The sequence below is a fragment of the Homo sapiens genome, chromosome 21, assembly GCF_000001405.40.
Source record: "Homo sapiens chromosome 21, GRCh38.p14 Primary Assembly".
Lineage (NCBI taxonomy): Eukaryota > Metazoa > Chordata > Mammalia > Primates > Hominidae > Homo > Homo sapiens.
The window spans coordinates 44,621,779-44,638,885 of NC_000021.9; the positions used below are offsets into that span (position 1 = coordinate 44,621,779).

At 48.8% G+C, this 17,107-nt stretch overlaps 3 protein-coding genes across 4 annotated transcripts in view, besides 1 other annotated feature; 2 read left to right on the top strand and 1 right to left on the bottom strand.

Annotated features, from left to right (window-relative positions):
- The window catches only part of TSPEAR (thrombospondin type laminin G domain and EAR repeats), a 213,680-nt gene that overhangs the window by 123,886 nt on the left and 72,687 nt on the right, over positions 1-17,107 (bottom strand). The window lies entirely within an intron of this gene.
- Positions 4,240-4,935: an enhancer, noted in NCBI's record as "H3K4me1 hESC enhancer chr21:46045935-46046630 (GRCh37/hg19 assembly coordinates)". NCBI's record gives its function as "activates a minimal SCP1, AML or CMV promoter by ChIP-STARR-seq in primed H9 embryonic stem cells {active_cell/tissue: H9 hESC(primed)}" and the evidence as "EXISTENCE:reporter gene assay evidence [ECO:0000049][PMID:30033119]".
- On the top strand, positions 5,315-6,600 carry KRTAP10-9 (keratin associated protein 10-9). The gene has a single exon (NM_198690.3). It carries the CDS (start codon positions 5,394-5,396, stop codon positions 6,270-6,272), a length of 879 nt encoding a protein of 292 aa, NP_941963.2. The 5' UTR covers positions 5,315-5,393; the 3' UTR covers positions 6,273-6,600.
- On the top strand, positions 15,578-16,677 carry KRTAP10-10 (keratin associated protein 10-10). Its single transcript, NM_181688.3, has one exon. The coding sequence runs from the start codon at positions 15,640-15,642 to the stop codon at positions 16,393-16,395; it is 756 nt and encodes a 251-aa protein (NP_859016.1). The 5' UTR covers positions 15,578-15,639; the 3' UTR covers positions 16,396-16,677.

Here is a 17,107-nt window from a genome sequence, read left to right on the forward strand (position 1 = left end):
TTCAAGTTATTTAATCAATATGGGATATTTGTATTTTTGTTCCTTTTGTGTGGATTCGGTGTCTTGACAAATATAGACAGTTGTGTCTCCACCAACGCAATCAATACATAGACTCCTCTCATCATCCCATACATTTCCCTCATGGCCATTTGTAGTCATTCCACATCCCCATCCTAGTCCCTGGCAGCCACTGACATTTTTTTTGGTCCCTTTACAATTACCTTTTCCAAAATGTTATATGCATGGAACCCCATGGTGCTTAGTATTTTGCCATATAACATAAGACTTAAATAGACCCTTCCCTAAAGAGCAGGTACAGATGGCAAATAAATACATGAAAACATGCTCCACATCATGAGTCATCAGGGCAATACAAACTTAAACCCCAAAGGACTCTCTCTGTATAGCTGTGTTGACTAAAGTAACAACACATCTGCTGTGCAGGACTGGCAAGAATGTGGGGCTTTGCTGATACGTTTGAGCTTAAACCTCCCATCTCATTTTGGTTTTTGCTTACGCAAGGAATCTACTCCCTTTTATCTCCTTGCTTTACTGCTTTTGGATCTAGTGTTTTGAGATTTTTTATGCCCCCATCTTCCCCTCACTGTATTAGTTCCTTGGGCTGCCACATCAAATGTCACCAAAAAAGTGACTTATAAGAGTGGAAATTTATTATCTCGCAGTTCTTAGGGCCAGGCACCTGAAATGAAGATATCCACAGGGCCATGCTTTCTCTTAGCTCCAAGGGAGACTCTGTCCTTGCTGCTTCTAGTTTCTGGTGCTCCCAGCAAACCTTGGCGTCCCTTGGCTTATAGCTGCCTCATGACAATCTTTGCCTTGGCTGTCATACGCCGTCTTCCCTTTGTGTGTGTGTTTGAACTTCCTTCTCCTTTCTCTGATAAAGACATTAGTCATTGGATTTAAGGTTCACTATAACCCGGTATGACCTCATTTTAACTAATTTCATCTACAAAGACCCTATTTCTATGTAAGGTCACATTGTGAGTGACATGGTTTGGTTGTATGGCCCTGCCAAATCTCATGTTGAAATGTGATCTCCACTGTTGGAGGTGGGGCCTTGGGGGAGCTATTTGACTCATGGGAGCGGATCTCTCATGACTTAGTAGTGCTGTCCTTGTGATAGTGAGGGAGTTCTGGCAAGATCTGGTTAAGCGTGTAGCACCTCCCATCCCCCACTCTCTTTCTCTTGCTACTCTTTTGCCATGTGACATGCCCACTCCCCCTTCACCTTCCACCATGAGCAAAGCCCCCTGAGGCCTCCCCAGAAGCTGAGCAGATGCCAGCGCCATGTTTCCTGTACAACCTGCAGAACCATGAGCCAACTAAACTTTCGTCTTATAAATTACCCAGTCTCAAATATTTCTTTATAGCAATGCGAGACCAGCTTAACACAGTGAGGTTCTGGGTGGATATGACTTTTGGGGAGGCAAGATTCAACCCACTACACTCATCTACTTCCTCCTGAGTTGTATATTCTTTCATTACTCTAGTGGAGATTACAACATGAATCTATGACTTTTTAAAGTCTAATGTAAATTAGATCTTATATTATTTCCCAGATAGTATAGTGTACTAAGACTGCTTTAACTTCATGTAGCCCCCTCCTGAATTTTGTGATCTTCTTGCCATGTATTTCATTTCTATAAATATTTTACAACTTCTAAGACATCTTATACAGTAAATATTCATTTAGATTTCCCCATGTTGTCCTCCTTTTGTTACACTTCATTTCCTTTTCGACTTCTTGCTTCCATCTGTGATCATTTTCATTCTGCCTAATTATCTTTTTATTTTCTGTAGTGCAGATCCTACTGGTGACACAACCTCTCAGCATCCAGAGAACATCATTTTCCTGTCCTCATTTTTGAGGATCTTCTTCCCAGGTGTAGAATTCTAGCTTGGTGCTTCTTTTCTTTCAGACAGTAAATATATCATTCCATCATCCTCTGGCTGCCATCATTTCTACTGAGAAGTCATCTGTAAATGCTATTGTTGCTTCTTTAAAGGTAATATTTCTTTTTTTTTCCCTTGGCTGTTTTTAAATTTTTCTCTGTCTTTGGATTTCAGCCCCAATATGCACAGGCATGGTTTCCTTTGTATTCACCTTGCTAAACATTCTTAAATGCTTTTTGCATCTATGGGTTAATGTTTTTCATCACTTTAAACTTCTTGTCTATTAAACCTTCAAATATTTTACTACCCTTATTTTACTCATCTCCTCCTATGATTTCAACCATTTATATTCATAATTATTTACAACATAAGGGCATGCTTACTACTCCACTTTCTTCATTTCCCTCTTTTCTTTCCCATCTCTGTACTCAGGGCTGAATTTCCTCATCTCCCTTTCTTCACTAATCTTCTCTTTGGTTTTGTCTAATATGTTGTCTAGCTAATCTACTTAGTTCTTAATTTCAGCTATTATGTTCATTTCCAGAATTTCTGTTTGATTCCATTTCATAAATCTAGTTTGACACTGAAATTCTCCATTTGTCCTCTGGTTTTTTGAGCAAGCTAATCAGCATTATTTTAAATTCCAGTTTGACAATTCTAATATCTAAAGGTCCTGTGTATCTGTTTCTCTTGTTTGCTTTTTCCTCTTGGTCCTTTGGTCAGTTGGTTTGTCTTCTAGTAGCCCTAGTAATTTTTGACTGAATCCAGGACTTCATGAAAATTTCCAAGATGATTTGAGCCTCTGTTGATGCTGCTGTCTCCAGAAGAGATCACTTTTGTTTCTGGGAGGCACTTAGGCTACAGGCAGATCATATGAGTTCAATACGAGCTGATTTAAAGGTGGGCTTCATTCTTCTTTCCGTTTTTTCCTTCATCCTAGGGCGTAATCCTTCACTTATATTCACTGTTTCCAACTGACAGTCTGTTGTTGTTGTTGTTTTACCAGAATCCCTCCTCCTTGTCAGGTCCTGAACTCTATGTTTTTGTCTTCCAATTGTATGAGACTACTAAAAGCTGTGCTCAGCCTCAGCCTCATGGCTGTAGTCTGTGAATCAGTAAATGCCTCAATAAGAAAATCCAGAAGAAATATTAGACTCACTTCTGTGCACTTTCCCTCTAATAGGGATTCACTCACTCAAGTCTCAGCTGTCTTGGTGACTCCTGGTGCCCTCAAATAGAGATTTTGTTTGTTAAACCAGGTTTCCTAACTTTTCTCAGCTAGATGGCCAGTCTGATGTCAGCCAATTCCCCACACACAAAAGCAGAACTTGACAGAGAGTTTTATACAGCATAAGAAAAAGGTAGCATAATGGAATCGTTTTCAGAGGTCAAAATTACTCTTCGATAATTTCTCCAAAAACATTTATTATTTCAGCCCATTTTTATGAAGGATCTTCCCTATTCCAGGCATTATTTTAGGCCCTCAGAGACTGAGTGGTGAACAAGACAACCACACTTCCTGCCCACATGAAGCTTACCTTTGAAGAATGGGAGCTGAGCACAGCAAAGAAAATGAGCATGAAAAGTTAGGAGACTTGGCACAGAAATACTGATGATGGGCCACGCACGGTGGCTTACGCCTGTAGTCCCAGCAATTTGGGAGGCCAAGGCAGGAGGATCACTTGAGCCCAGGAGTTCAAGACCAGCTGGGCAACATAGCAAGACTCTGGTCTCTACAAAAAAAATTTTTTTTTACAAAAAGAAATATTGATAATGGGACTTGAATTATCTATGATTGAAGCGTATCATAAAGCTATGGCCTGAAAGAGCAGAACCAAATCCATAGCCCAAAATGGACCAGTTCAAAACTTTTCTATCCTGTCTGAAACCCAGTCCTATCCCCAGCGTTCCCACATGCAAGTCTGAGTGGACCTCGGGGAAGGCCGCGGGGAGCGGCATGGCCTCTCTTTCCTTGCTCCCCTTCTCCCTGTTTTGGGCTCTAATTTCTTCAGTGATGGGGACGGGGGAAGGAATGTGCAGGGCCACCACTGTGGGGCTCACTGGCCACTGCTGCACCTTCTCTCCGGCTGCTCCAGTGATCCTGTGCTTCTACCAGCTGCTTCTGCCTCTTCAGTGAGGACCCACTTTAGAGACACCCCCAGGGACAGTAGCTGGAGGACTCTCTCCCTGGGACACCACACTTTGCGTAAGACTGAAGGGCCACCCCTGCCTCCACAGCCTCCTTCTTACAACCTGGGCAGCACTGGTGGGGTGTGGCAGCTGGCCATAGCTGGTCAACTTCTGTCTTATTTTAGAAACCCTGTGGGGACAGGTCTGACCCAGAATGTTAGCATTATTTTTAGAATGAGAGGCCGTTTCCAGCTTTGCCAGATTCACAGCAACAAAGACGTTCTACTCAACATCGTGTAATACGTCTTACTTTATAATGAAATATGCGTATGTGTACTTGAATTTTTAAATAAAAATGTGAAATCACAATCAATATTATAATTAGCTGCTGGGTAGCAATGTTCCTGGAAAGTGATCAGGGCCATTTTATAAGGCAAGAAGCTCGGGACTTCATCATGCCCTGTGGTGATAACAATTCATCATCAAAGATCATGCAGCCGTGAGAGTTGCCTGTGGCTGACCTGGGGGTGTGTGATGGGGCCTGTGGGCAGGGCTGGTGAGAAAAAGATGCTTGCAGTGCAGGGCACACGGAGGAGATGGCTCCAGCAGTGGCGAGGGCTGGCGGCTGCCTGCTGCCTAGCACAGCTACTTCACGGGTTCAGAACCCGAAACCACAGCCCACGATGCTGCCATTGTGCCTCAGCAAGGAGTGGGCTGAGCCCACGATCCCTGCCCTGGAACAGAGTCCTGCTGCCTCCCAAGCAAAGGACAGGGTGGGCAATGAACAGAGGGCAGGAGGCACAGAGGCCATGGGGATTAGAAATTGGCGAGTCCTGTGTCCTACAGCAGGGGAAGGACCATACTAGAGGAGGAGTTTGCACCACAGGAAATAATTCCTAAGGGCCGGCTTCCTGCAGAGGAAGCCCGTGTCCTGAGGCTGCTGGGGCCAGTGGCTGGACGATGCCCCAGCAACCAAAGATGGCCCCAGGCACATCCCACCCACATCCCACCCACCAGACGCCCACAGCCGTCCTTGCCTCCAGAACCCAGCTGGGATCAGGCCCACCCCAACTCCTGCCCCTGAGGTTCCACATGCAACAGACTATAGCCCAGGTGTGACAGGAGATTTGTGAGCTGGGCAATGTCACCAGCAAACAAACATCCCTAATCATGGCAGACGCCGCCTCTCAGCAACAAGGAAGGGGAAGCTGTGGGCCCTGGAACAACAAGGCCAGGAGGGGTATAAAAGCCTGAGAGCCCCAAGAACCTCACACACTCACAAACTCACTCACTGACACACTCACACACTCACTTACACCTCCCCCAGCTCACCTCCTCCCCACCCCAGCATGGCCGCGTCCACCATGTCCATCCGCTCCAGCGCTTACTCCGACTCCTGGCAGGTGGACGACTGCCCAGAGAGCTGCTGTGAGCCCCCCTGCTGCGCCACCAGCTGCTGCGCCCCGGCCCCCTGCCTGACCCTGGTCTGCACCCCAGTGAGCCGTGTATCCAGCCCCTGCTGCCAGGTGACCTGTGAGCCCAGCCCCTGCCAATCAGGCTGCACCAGCTCCTGCACGCCCTCGTGCTGCCAGCAGTCTAGCTGCCAGCCGGCTTACTGCACCTCCTCCCCCTGCCAGCAGGCCTGCTGCGTGCCCGTCTGCTGCAAGCCTGTGTGCTGCGTGCCCGTCTGCTGTGGGGCTTCTTCGTGCTGCCAACAGTCTAGCTACCAGCCAGCTTGCTGTGCCTCTTCCTCCTGCCAGCCGGCCTGCTGTGTGCCCGTCTGCTGCAAACCTGTGTGCTGTGCGCCCACCTGCTCTGAGGATTCCTATTCATGCTGCCAACAGTCTAGCTGCCAGCCAGCTTGCTGCACTTCCTCCCCCTGCCAGCAGTCCTACTGTGTGCCTGTCTGCTGTAAGCCTGTCTGCTGCAAACCCATCTGCTGTGTGCCTGTCTGCTCTGGGGCTTCCTCTTTGTGCTGCCAGCAGTCTGGCTGCCAGCCGGCTTGCTGCACCACCTCCTGCTGCAGACCCTCCTCCTCTGTGTCCCTCCTCTGCCGCCCTGTGTGCAGGCCCGCCTGCTGCGTGCCCGTCTCCTCCTGCTGTGCCCCCACCTCCTCCCGCCAGCCCAGCTATTGCCGCCAGGCCTCCTGTGTGTCCCTTCTCTGCCGCCCTGTGTGCTCCCGCCCGGCCTGCTACAGCTTCTCCTCAGGCCAGAAGTCCAGCTGCTGACGGTCATGTCCCCCAGGGCCAGCCGGGCTCAGGCCCCACCTCCCTGCCAGTCCTTGGACCTCCCAGCCCACCCAGCCTCAGCACAGCTCAACACAGAAGGAGCAGCCCCAGCCACAGCCGCCCAGCCCCGGGGTCTCAGATGCTCACTGGCTCCTCCCTGACCTCCCCCCCGGGCAGGCGAGCCCTGGCTTCTCCTCACGGTGCTTCCTGGCTGCAGACCACAACCCTCCGCTGGTCGCTGGTTGGGGACGGGCCCTCCTGACCCGGGTCTCACCCCCAGCAGCGTCACCCTCTGCCCCTGAGCACCAATAAAGCGTCTGCGGCCCCAGCTGACTCCGTGCTGACTCTCCGCACCCAGGGCGGGAGGGGGCAGAGTGGGGCCTGGCCTGGCTCTGGGGGGCTGGGCCCCGTGGATCTCTTTACTTCCCCAGCTGGGGGGCCTCGGGGGGCTCTTGTGTGACACCTGGAAGCTCCTGTCCACCTCGTGGCACGTTCTGCTGTCCGGCTCCCCTCCCAGGTCCTGTGGGGCCCAAAAGCCTTGTTCACTGGCTGAGTCCCACAGACACCACGTGACTCAGGCTAATGCCCCACTCACTGTGGGTAGAAGCAGCTCCTTCCCATGGCAAGGGTTGGGGCTGTCCCGGGGGGTGGCAGGCCCCAGCTGTGCTGGGAGGTGGGAGACGGGCGGTGGGGGGTGGGTGTGGAGACTTGGGCTCCAGCTGTCCCAGCACTCAGGAGTTCCACTCGGAGAGAGCTTGGCCATCCTGGCCTCCTGTGGACACTCACAGACGCTCAGGGATGGCCCCTGCTCCAGCCCTGGGCTTGCCGCTGGGATGCAGAGCAGAGAACAGACACGTGGTCTCCAGAGCTCCCTGTGCTGGGCTGGGTGGGTGGAGGGCCGGTGGGAACAGGAAGGTCTCAGGGCGGCGATGACAGAGGAGTCCCAGGACAGTGTGGGAATGTGTCCAGACCAGACAGCAGGAAGGAGGCCTCCTGGGGGTAGTTTCTTAGCTCCTGCCATGGGAGACAGGCAGATGGCCAGAGCCACACTGTCCCCTCCAGTCCTCACCCACACCCCCCACACTGGTGACCCGGGGCTGCGATGCCGCCCACTCTTCTCGCCTTAGGAGAGCATAGTCGGGTTTGGGGGCCTCGGCCATACCCTGTGGGCACAAAGGACCCCCACACCTGAGAGGAGCTGCATGTGTCAGCTCAGGCTGCTGTGACAAAGTCCACGGACTGGGGGCTCGAGCCACATACATGGGGTCCCTCACAGTCCTGGGGCTGGAAATTGAGGCCCAGGTGTGGCAGGGCTGGTTCCCGAAGACTCTCTCTTGGGCTTGCAGACACAGTCTTCTCCCTGTGTCCTTACGGGGCTGTCCCTCTGTGTGTGTCTCTGCCCTCATCTCCTCTTCTCAAGAGGACACCAGTCATTGGATTAGGGCCCATCCATAGGACCTTAACTTAGGACTTCAACATGTGAATTCGGGGGCATCACAAGTCAGCCCATATCAGGGGGCTCTGGCTTTGGCCCTTGAGGCAGGAGTGAGGGTGGCAGTGAGGCCACCTGTGCCTCGAAGATCCCCAGTGGGGCCTGGCTGGGGCAGACGCTCCCTGTCCATAAACTGCAGCGATGGACATTTGGACAGAGACACGACCCTCGGGGAAATTCTGCTCACATGGACTCCTTCACCTGCTGAACAACGCTGTCCAGAGGCCTCAGACACCCACCAAATGGTTCCTGTTTAGGCATCCTGTTGTCCCCAGTGCCTGGCTCATAAGGGGAACTCTCACTGGTCCCACCGCAGGAGGCACGGCTCGCTTCCAGAAGGGGAAGGTGGGGATGGAGCGCAGGCCAGGCAGCTGTGCTGGAAGAGACAGGCCACACAGGGATGGGTGCAGGGAAAGTGGGGGCCACAGGGCTGTCGCGGGGGTCAGGAGCATCTTGCACAGGCTTCCTGAGTGGTATGGAGAGTGACCTAGGGCTTCAGGGGCCGTGGTACACACACTCACAGTGATAGAAACCAACTCAGGATTTAGGAATGGGAGTTCTTGGAGACCTTGATGAGGGGCTTTCCAGTCACATTCTGTGGGCAGGGGCATCCTGTGGTGGGCAGAGGGGGAACAAGCACTGGGGAAGTGAAATGTGAAGGTAAATAATTTCTTCTCTAAAGATCTAACAGAACAAGGCAGGAGAGGAGCACAGTAGTGACGGCTTCCTGAAGGACTAACACACAGGGCTTGCCTTATTTCGCCAACTCAGATTCCCTCCAGCCAGAGAAGCAGCTACACAGAGGCTTGGTCAGAACATTTAAAGGCAAATGAACCAGTCACTGCCACCTGGACAAAGGATATCAGTTGAGAAAACAATGGACACCCCAAAAAACCTGGGAGGAAGAGCTGAGAAATTAGATGCTTTGGGAAATAAGGGCATTGGAAGATTCCACATATTCTTGGGAGTCTATAAGGCCCCCATGCATGCCCATGATGGGGCACAGAAAAGACCTGAGAGGCTCTCAGTGCTCACCTCTGGCTGAACTGCAGGCTCTGAGCAAGCAGGAAGTGAAGGGGAGGGCAGGAAGTGAAGGGGAGGGCAGGAAGTGAAGGGGAAGTGAAGGGGAAGGCAGGAAGTGAAGGGGAAGTGAAGGGGAAGGCAGTCGCAAACCGCCCAGGTGAGCACTGAGGGTGTGGACCAACACACAGAGTCCAGCTATAAAGACTGGGAAAAAAACATCTTTTGACTCCAGGTGTTTAAGAAACTCTGTCTAATTACTATCTGAGCACTAAGCAAATGGAATAGTGACCCCCTTCATGACAAAGAGTATAGTCATTACTAAAATAGTTTAGGAAAGTCACTTAAAAACAAAACAAAACTACTAGCCACACAACCAGCAACAGCAAACCACAGGGAAGAGGGAGAATGTGCCATCCAGAATTATCAAATTATAATATTCCAAATGTCCAGTTTTCAACAAAAATTATGAGGCATGCAAAGAAGCAAGAATGTATGGTTCATTCGCAGTAAAGAAAGAAAAAAAAGCCAAGTAGTGAAAAATGTCCTTGAAGAAGCCCAGGATTGAATTTACTCGACAAAGTCTTTCCATTAACTCTTTTAAATATACTCAAAGAGCTAAAGGAAACCATGACAAAAGAACAAAGAGAAACTAAGAAAACAACATCTCAACCAAGAGAGAATATCAATAAAGAGAGAGATTATAAAGAGGAATCAAATAGAAATTCTGGAGTTGAAAAGTATAATAACTGATATGAAAATTTCACTAGAGAAGTCCCACAGCCGATTTGAACAGACAGAAGGAAAAATTAGAGAACAGGTAGATAGGTCAAGTGAAATACTCCAGTCTGAAGGGCATAAAAACAAAAAGAGGCCGAGCGTGATGGCTCACACCTGTAATCCCAGCACTTTGGGAGGCTGAGGCAGGCAGATCATTTGAGGTTGGGAGTTTGAGAACGGCCTGGGGCAACATAGTGAAACCCTGTCTCTACTAAAAATAAAATAAATAAATAAATAGCTGGGCGTGGTGGCTCATGCCTGTAATCTCAGCTACTCGGGAGCCTGAGGCAGGAGAATCACTTGAACCTGGGAAGCGGAGGTTGCAGTGAGCCAAGATCATGCCACTGCACTCCAGCCTGAATGACAGAGTGAGACTCCATCTCAAAACAAACAAAAACAAAAGAATTTTAAAACTGAACAGAGTTTAACTGGCCTGTAGGACAACATCAAACATACCAACAGCACACTTAACAGCAGTGTCAGAAGAAGAGCAGAGAGAGAATGGAGCACTCAAAACTATTTGAAGAAAAATGATAGAGACAGAAAGTAAAATGGTGGTTGCCAGGTGCCTGGGGGGAGGAGGAGGAATGTGGAGTTAGTGTTTAATGGGGACAGAGTTTCAGTTTTCCAAGATGAAAAGTTTTGAAGACGGATGGTGGCAATGACCGCACTGCATTATGAATGTATTTAATATCACTGAACGGTACACTTAAAATGGGATAAATTTCACGTGTATTTAACTACAATAATTTTTTAAATATTTGAAGTAATAATGACCAAAAACTTCCCAAATATGATGAAACACATTGAATCTACACATTCAAGAAGCTCCATGAGCTTCAAGTAGAATAAACTCAAAAAGATCCACACAGAAACACAAAATTAAATTATTGAAAGCCAAAGACAAAACAAGAATCTTGAAAGCAGGAAGAGAGAAGATTAACAGCCAATTTCTCTTCAAAAACCATGAAGAACAGAAGGCAATGGGATGATGTACTTAAAGTGCTGAAAGAGAAAAAAACTGTCCACCAAGAAGTCTGTGTCCAATGAAATGATTCTTTGAAACTAAAGGAGAAATTAGGACACTTCTGGATAAATAAATGCTGAGAGAGTTTATTGCCAGTAGGCCTGCCCTACAAGAAATGACAGCTCAGGATGAAATCAAAGGGCACTAGACAATAACTTGAAGCCATATTAAGAAATAAAGAACTGGCTGGGCACAGTGGCTCACGCCTGTAATCCCAGCACTTTGGGAGGCTGAGGCGGGCAGATCAGAAGGTCAAGGGTTTGAGACCAGCCTGGCCAACATAGTGAAACTCCATCTCTGCTAAAAATACACACACAAAAAAAAATAGCTGAGTGTGGTGGTGGGCACCTGTAATCCCAGCTAGTTGGGAGGCTGAGGCAAGGAGAATCACTTGAACCTGGGAGGCAGAGGTTGCAGTGAGCCAAGATCGTGCCACTGCTCTCCAGCCTGGGTGGCAGTGCAAGACTCCATCTCAAAAAGAAAAAGAAGAAAAGAAATAAAGAACACTAATAAAGGTATCAGTTTTGGTAGTTTGTATGTTAATAGGAATTTATCCATTACATCTAGGTTATCTACATTATGAATGTATTTAATATCACTAAACATGCTTAAATGGAATAAATTTTATTGATTTTATGTGTTAGTGTACAATTGTTCATATATTCTCTTATAGTCTTTTTTATCTATATAGGTCAGCAGTAATGTTCCCACTTTCATTTCTGATTTTAATAATTAGAGCCTTCTCTTTTTTCTCAGTCTAGTTAAAGGTTTGTAAATTTTATTGTTGCTTTCAAAAAACTAATTTTAGGCTTCGTTGGTTCCATTGTTTTTCTATTCTCAATTTCTTTATTTGCTCCCTGTATTCTACATATAATCTTTATTTTCTTCCTTCTTCTAGGTTTTGGTTTAGTTTGCTCTTCCTTTTCCTGGTTCCTTAAGGTGTGAAGTTAGATTACTGAATTGAGATCTTTCTTGTTTTTTAATATAAGCATTTATAGCTACAAATTTCCCTCCATAAACTGTTTTGCCGTATCCCATAAGTTTTGGTTTGTTATATTGTCACTGTCATTTATCCCATAGTATTTTCTAACTTCTCTTTTGATTTATTCTTCAATCAACTGGTTGTTATAAGTATGTGTTGTTTAATTGCCACATATTTGTGAATTTTCCAGTTTTCCTTCTGTTATTGATTTCTAATTCCCACTGTGGTCAGAGAAGATACATTATATGATTTCAATAATTTTAAATTTATTGAGACTTGTTTTTTGGACTAACATATGGTCTAATCTGGAGAACTGAGAAGAATTTGTATTCTGCTGTTGTTGGGTTGAATGTTTTATACACGGCCATATTAGATCTAGCTTGTTTATAGTGTTCTTCAAGTTCTCTATTTCGTTATTGATCTTTGATCTAGTTCTATTTAAAAATTTTTTTTAATCAGTGGAAGTGACTTATTGAAGTCTTCAAACATTATTGTTGAACTGGAATTGCCTATTTCTTTCTTCTCTTCTTTCCATTTATGCTTGATATATCTTGGGGGTCTGATGTTTGTTAGGTACATGAATGTTTATAACTGATGTTAGGTACACAAATGCTATAAAATGATGGCTTATGCCTGTAATCCCAACTACTCAGGAGGTTGAGATGAGAGGATTGTTTAAGGCCAAGAGTTCGAGACCAGCCTGGGTAACAGAGTAAGACCCTGGTCCCTAAAAAAATATGTTTTTTCATTAGCCAAATATAGTGGTGTGCACCTGTAGTCCCAGCTACCTGGGAAACTGAGGTGGGAGGATCACTTAAGTCCAGGAGTTTGAGGCTGCAATGAGTTATGATTGTGCCACTGCACTCCAGCCTGGGCAACAGGCTGAGCAATACCCTGTCTCTGTTTTAATGGTGCTAGGACAACTGGATATCTACACACAAAATCATAAAGTTGCACTACATCTCACACCAACAAATTAACTAAAAATGGATCAAAGCCCTACATATATGAGATAAAGCCATAAAATTCTTAGAAGGAAACATAAGAGTAAATATGTATGACCTTATTTTGGGCAATGGTTTTTTAGATATGACACCAGAAGCATAAGCAACAAAAGGAAAAAATAGATAAATTGGATGTCATCAAAATTAAAAAGTTTTGTGCATCAAAGGACACTATCAAGAGAGTAAAACAACCCACACAAGGGAAGAACATGCTTGTAAATCATAATTCTGATAAGGATCTAACACCCAGAATATATAAAGAACTCTTATAATTCAACAACAAAAAGTCAACCCAATTTAAAAATAGGCAAAGTCCTTTAATAGACATTTCTCCAAGGAGGATATGCAAATGGATGATACACGCAGGAAAAGAAGCTCAATGTTATTGGTCATTAGGGAAACAGAAATCCACACCACAATGACATGCTGTTGATACTTCATACCCACCAAGATGGCTATAATTTAACACACACATACACCAACAAATAGAAGGTAGCAGATGTTGACAAGGATGAAGAGAAACTGGAATGTTTGTACATTGCTAGTGAGAATATAAAATGGTACAGATGCTGTGAAAAACAGTCTGGCACGTCCTCAAAATGTAAACATGGAATTCCATACAACTCATCAGTTCCCACTCCTAGGTATATACCCAACAGAATTAAAAAGAGGTGTTCAAACAGAAACATGTACAAGAATGTTTATAGGGCCGGGCGCAGTGGCTCATGCCTGTAATCCCAGCACTTTGGGAGGCCGAGGCGGGAGGATCACTTGAGGTCAGGAGTTCAAGACCAGCCTGGCCAACATGGTGAAACCCCGTCTCTACCAAAAATATAAAAAATTAGCTGGGTGTGGTGGTGCGCACCTGTAATCCCAGCTACTTGGGAGGCTGAGGCAGGAGAATCACTTGTACCCGGGAGGTGGAGGTTGCAGTGAGCCGAGATGGGGCCACTGCACTCCAGCCTGGGTGACAGAGGGAGACTCTGTCTCAAAAAAAAAAAAAAAAAAAAAGAATGTTTATAGAAGCACTATTCACACTAGCCAAAAGTTGAAAAGAACCCAAAAGTGCATTAGCAGATGAATGGATAAATGAAATGTGGCGTGTCCCTTTGATGGAATATGATTCAGCCAAGAAAAGGAATGGCGTTCTGAAACATACCCAAACACAGGTGTACCTTGAAAACATGCTGAGTGAACAAAGCTAGACACAAAGACCACATATTCCATGACTGCGTCTATATGAAATGTGCAGAACAGGCAAATCCATAGAGACAAGCAGAATAGTATTGGTTGCCAGGGGCTGGGCATGGCTGCTTAATAGTACCGGGGTTCCTTCGGGAGCGATGATAGTATTCTGGAACTAGGTAGTGGGGATGGTTGCACAACATTATGACTGTACTGTCACTGAATTGCACACTTTAAAATGGGTAAAATGGTACATTTTATTTTATGGTTGATCACAATTTAAATAAAATTACACCTGCCAAGGGTTTCTAAGAATGAAGCCCCTCGCTCTGCAATGCTGGATATTATCAGCATTTTAAATCTTGTTTGCTCTTACAGGTGGGAGACGTGTGTTTAAACCTGAGAAACTTTAGTTATTAATGAGATCAACTAGCTGTTCATCTCATTCATGCTTATTGGAAATTTAAAATTTTTAGTCTTCTATTCATTTCTTTTGTATCTTATCCTGTTTTAGTGGTAAGGACTTCAAATTTTTCACATTAATCTTCCACCTGTCATGGAGATTACAAGTACTTTCTGGCAGTTCATATCTTCATTTGTGTACCCAATGATTCCTTCAGGGCTGTGATGGGAACGTCGTGGATGCTGAGCTGAGCTGAGGCATGTGGACCGGTCTCCAGCACCCAACCCTGCCGGGTTTCCAGGGGACATACGTTGTATGTGTTCTGGTCAAGGTTTATGCTTTCGTTCACATCTGACCCTCTGACATTCCACTGGGCATTTTATACTTGGGTCTGCTGGCTGACGGGCTTCCTTTCCCATTGTATTTCCACACTGTCATGGCAGGGGTACAGGTAGGGGGTGCTGGGTGCAGTGACTTTGTCTCTCATCCAGCCCTTCAGTGAGCGTGGCCTGGGACAGTCACTCTGATCCTAGGTGGACAATGATGTCACCTACAGATACTAGAAATTCACATCACATTTCAACTTCTTGGCATGTGGCTTCAGCCAAAGTGCAAACATAGAGTAAGACCAGGCGTCCGGGCAGTGGGGCTGACTGTGGCCCCATCTGACACTTTTCTCATCCAGACCCCAAGTATCCTCCACTCTCCACGCAACCCTCACTCCACACCTGCCTCTCCAAGGTAGAGGCCCCTCCCCACCCTCAGACCCTGACCTGCACCCGCCCCTCTCAGGACACCTGACCAGGGCTCCAGGGGATGGCAGTCCAGACCCAAAGGCCAGTCCCCAAACCTTGTCCTCCTAATGAGCTGACTGTCCAGAGGCCTTGCCAGAACATTCCATCTCCTCAGAGGAGGGGAGGTCCTCCCTGTCCTCCTGCCCTTGGCAGACATCAGGATCTCAGAAGATCCCAGAGCCCGCCAGGAAGCGCTGTCTTCAAGCATCTTTTCCCAACACAGGCACCTCCGTCCTGGCTCTCCCAATCTCAGCCACGCCAGCCCACCCCGTGAGGTCCCTGCAGACAGAGGCTGGGCCTCCCCCAGGCTGAGGGCCCACGCTGGGCACAGTCACGGGACCTGCCAGGTGGAAGTCACCAGGTCAGCCCCAGAGAGGTCACACCTTCCCTCCTGGTGTTCCCGGGAGACAGGCTCAGCCAGGGGCGCCGGTCCTGCCCAGGACCAGCCAAGTGTTAGGAGCAGAGTGAGGACAAGTCATGGCAAAGGAAGCAGAAATAATGAGGGTCCTCCCGGCTCCAAACACCAACACGGAAGGGGAGGGCATTGCTGAGTCTCCTGCTGGGAAAACACAGGCCCTGGGCATATAAAAGCCCCAGCAGCTGACAGGCTCACACACACACTCACTCACACACTCACTCACTCACACACCTCCCCCAGCTCACCGCCTCCCCACTCCAGCATGGCCGCCTCCACCATGTCCATCTGCTCCAGCGCCTGCACTGACTCTTGGCGGGTAGTCGACTGCCCAGAGAGCTGCTGCGAGCCCTGCTGCTGTGCCCCAGCCCCCAGCTTGACCCTGGTCTGCACCCCAGTGAGCTGTGTGTCCAGCCCCTGCTGCCAGACGGCCTGTGAGCCCAGCGCCTGCCAATCAGGCTACACCAGCTCCTGCACAACCCCATGCTACCAGCAGTCTAGCTGCCAGCCGGATTGCTGCACCTCCTCCCCCTGCCAGCAGGCCTGCTGTGTGCCTGTCTGCTGTGTGCCCGTCTGCTGCGTGCCCGTCTGTAACAAGCCTGTGTGCTTCGTGCCTACCTGCTCCGAGTCTTCCCCTTCATGCTGCCAGCAGTCTAGCTGCCAGCCAACTTGCTGCACCTCCTCCCCATGCCAGCAGGCCTGCTGTGTGCCTGTCTGCTCTAAGTCCGTCTGCTATGTGCCTGTGTGCTCTGGGGCTTCCACTTCATGCTGCCAGCAGTCTAGCTGCCAGCCTGCTTGCTGCACCGCCTCCTGCTGCAGACCCTCCTCCTCCGTGTCCCTCCTCTGCCACCCTGTGTGCAAGTCCACCTGCTGCGTGCCCGTCCCCTCCTGCGGTGCCTCTGCCTCCTCCTGCCAGCCCAGCTGCTGCCGCACGGCCTCCTGTGTTTCCCTCCTCTGCCGCCCCGTGTGCTCCCGCCCTGCCTGCTACAGCCTCTGCTCTGGCCAGAAGTCCAGCTGCTGACAGCCCTGGATGTGATCCGGAGTCCCTTCCCACCAGGGGCTGACCTCCCAGCTGCCCCAGCAAGCTCTGCCCTCTCTGGCTTTGACACCCTCAGAAGGTGGGGCAGGCTCTTTGTCTTGGGGACCAGGATGCTCCCCCAGTCCTTCCCAGATGATGGCTGCCTGTGGGACCCCAGCTACTCCCCCAGACCCAAGTTCTGCAGAACTAACCCCCAGCAGGCCTGGTTCCACCCTGGGCAGCACCCCCTCTAGTTCTAATAAAGCCGCCTCTGTCTCACACCAACCTCTGTCCTGTCTGTGGACCCCCGGGGGGGCACAGGGTGAGGTGGGAAGTGATGCCACCCCTGACTGCAGGGAGAGTCCTGACCCCCAGCAGGCCTGGCTCCACCCCTCTGTCTCTGTCGACCTTCCATCCTGTCTGTGGACCCCCGAGGGGCATGGGATGAGGCAGGAAGCAATGCCTTCTGGTGCTGGCCTCTGTGAACCCTGAAGGCCAGTCTCCCTCTTAGCCCCGTGGGCCCCCAACCCCAGCACGTGGCCCCCCGGCCCATCTTAGGAAAGCTGCCTCTGGAACCAAGGCCAGGAGTTTCGGGACAAAGTGGACCCTGGCAGCACTCTGGGCCCCTGAGCCACATTCACCCTCCCCAGCTCCATGGCTGCCCCCCAGGCCTGGGGTAGACCACCTGGGGCCTGGCTCCACCCAGCAGCCTCAC

What these genes read in the sequence shown, in the direction of transcription:
- KRTAP10-9 (NM_198690.3), top strand. Translation starts at nt 5,394, where the DNA reads ATGGCCGCGTCCACCATGTCCATCCGCTCCAGCGCTTACTCCGACTCC.
- KRTAP10-10 (NM_181688.3), top strand. Translation starts at nt 15,640, where the DNA reads ATGGCCGCCTCCACCATGTCCATCTGCTCCAGCGCCTGCACTGACTCT.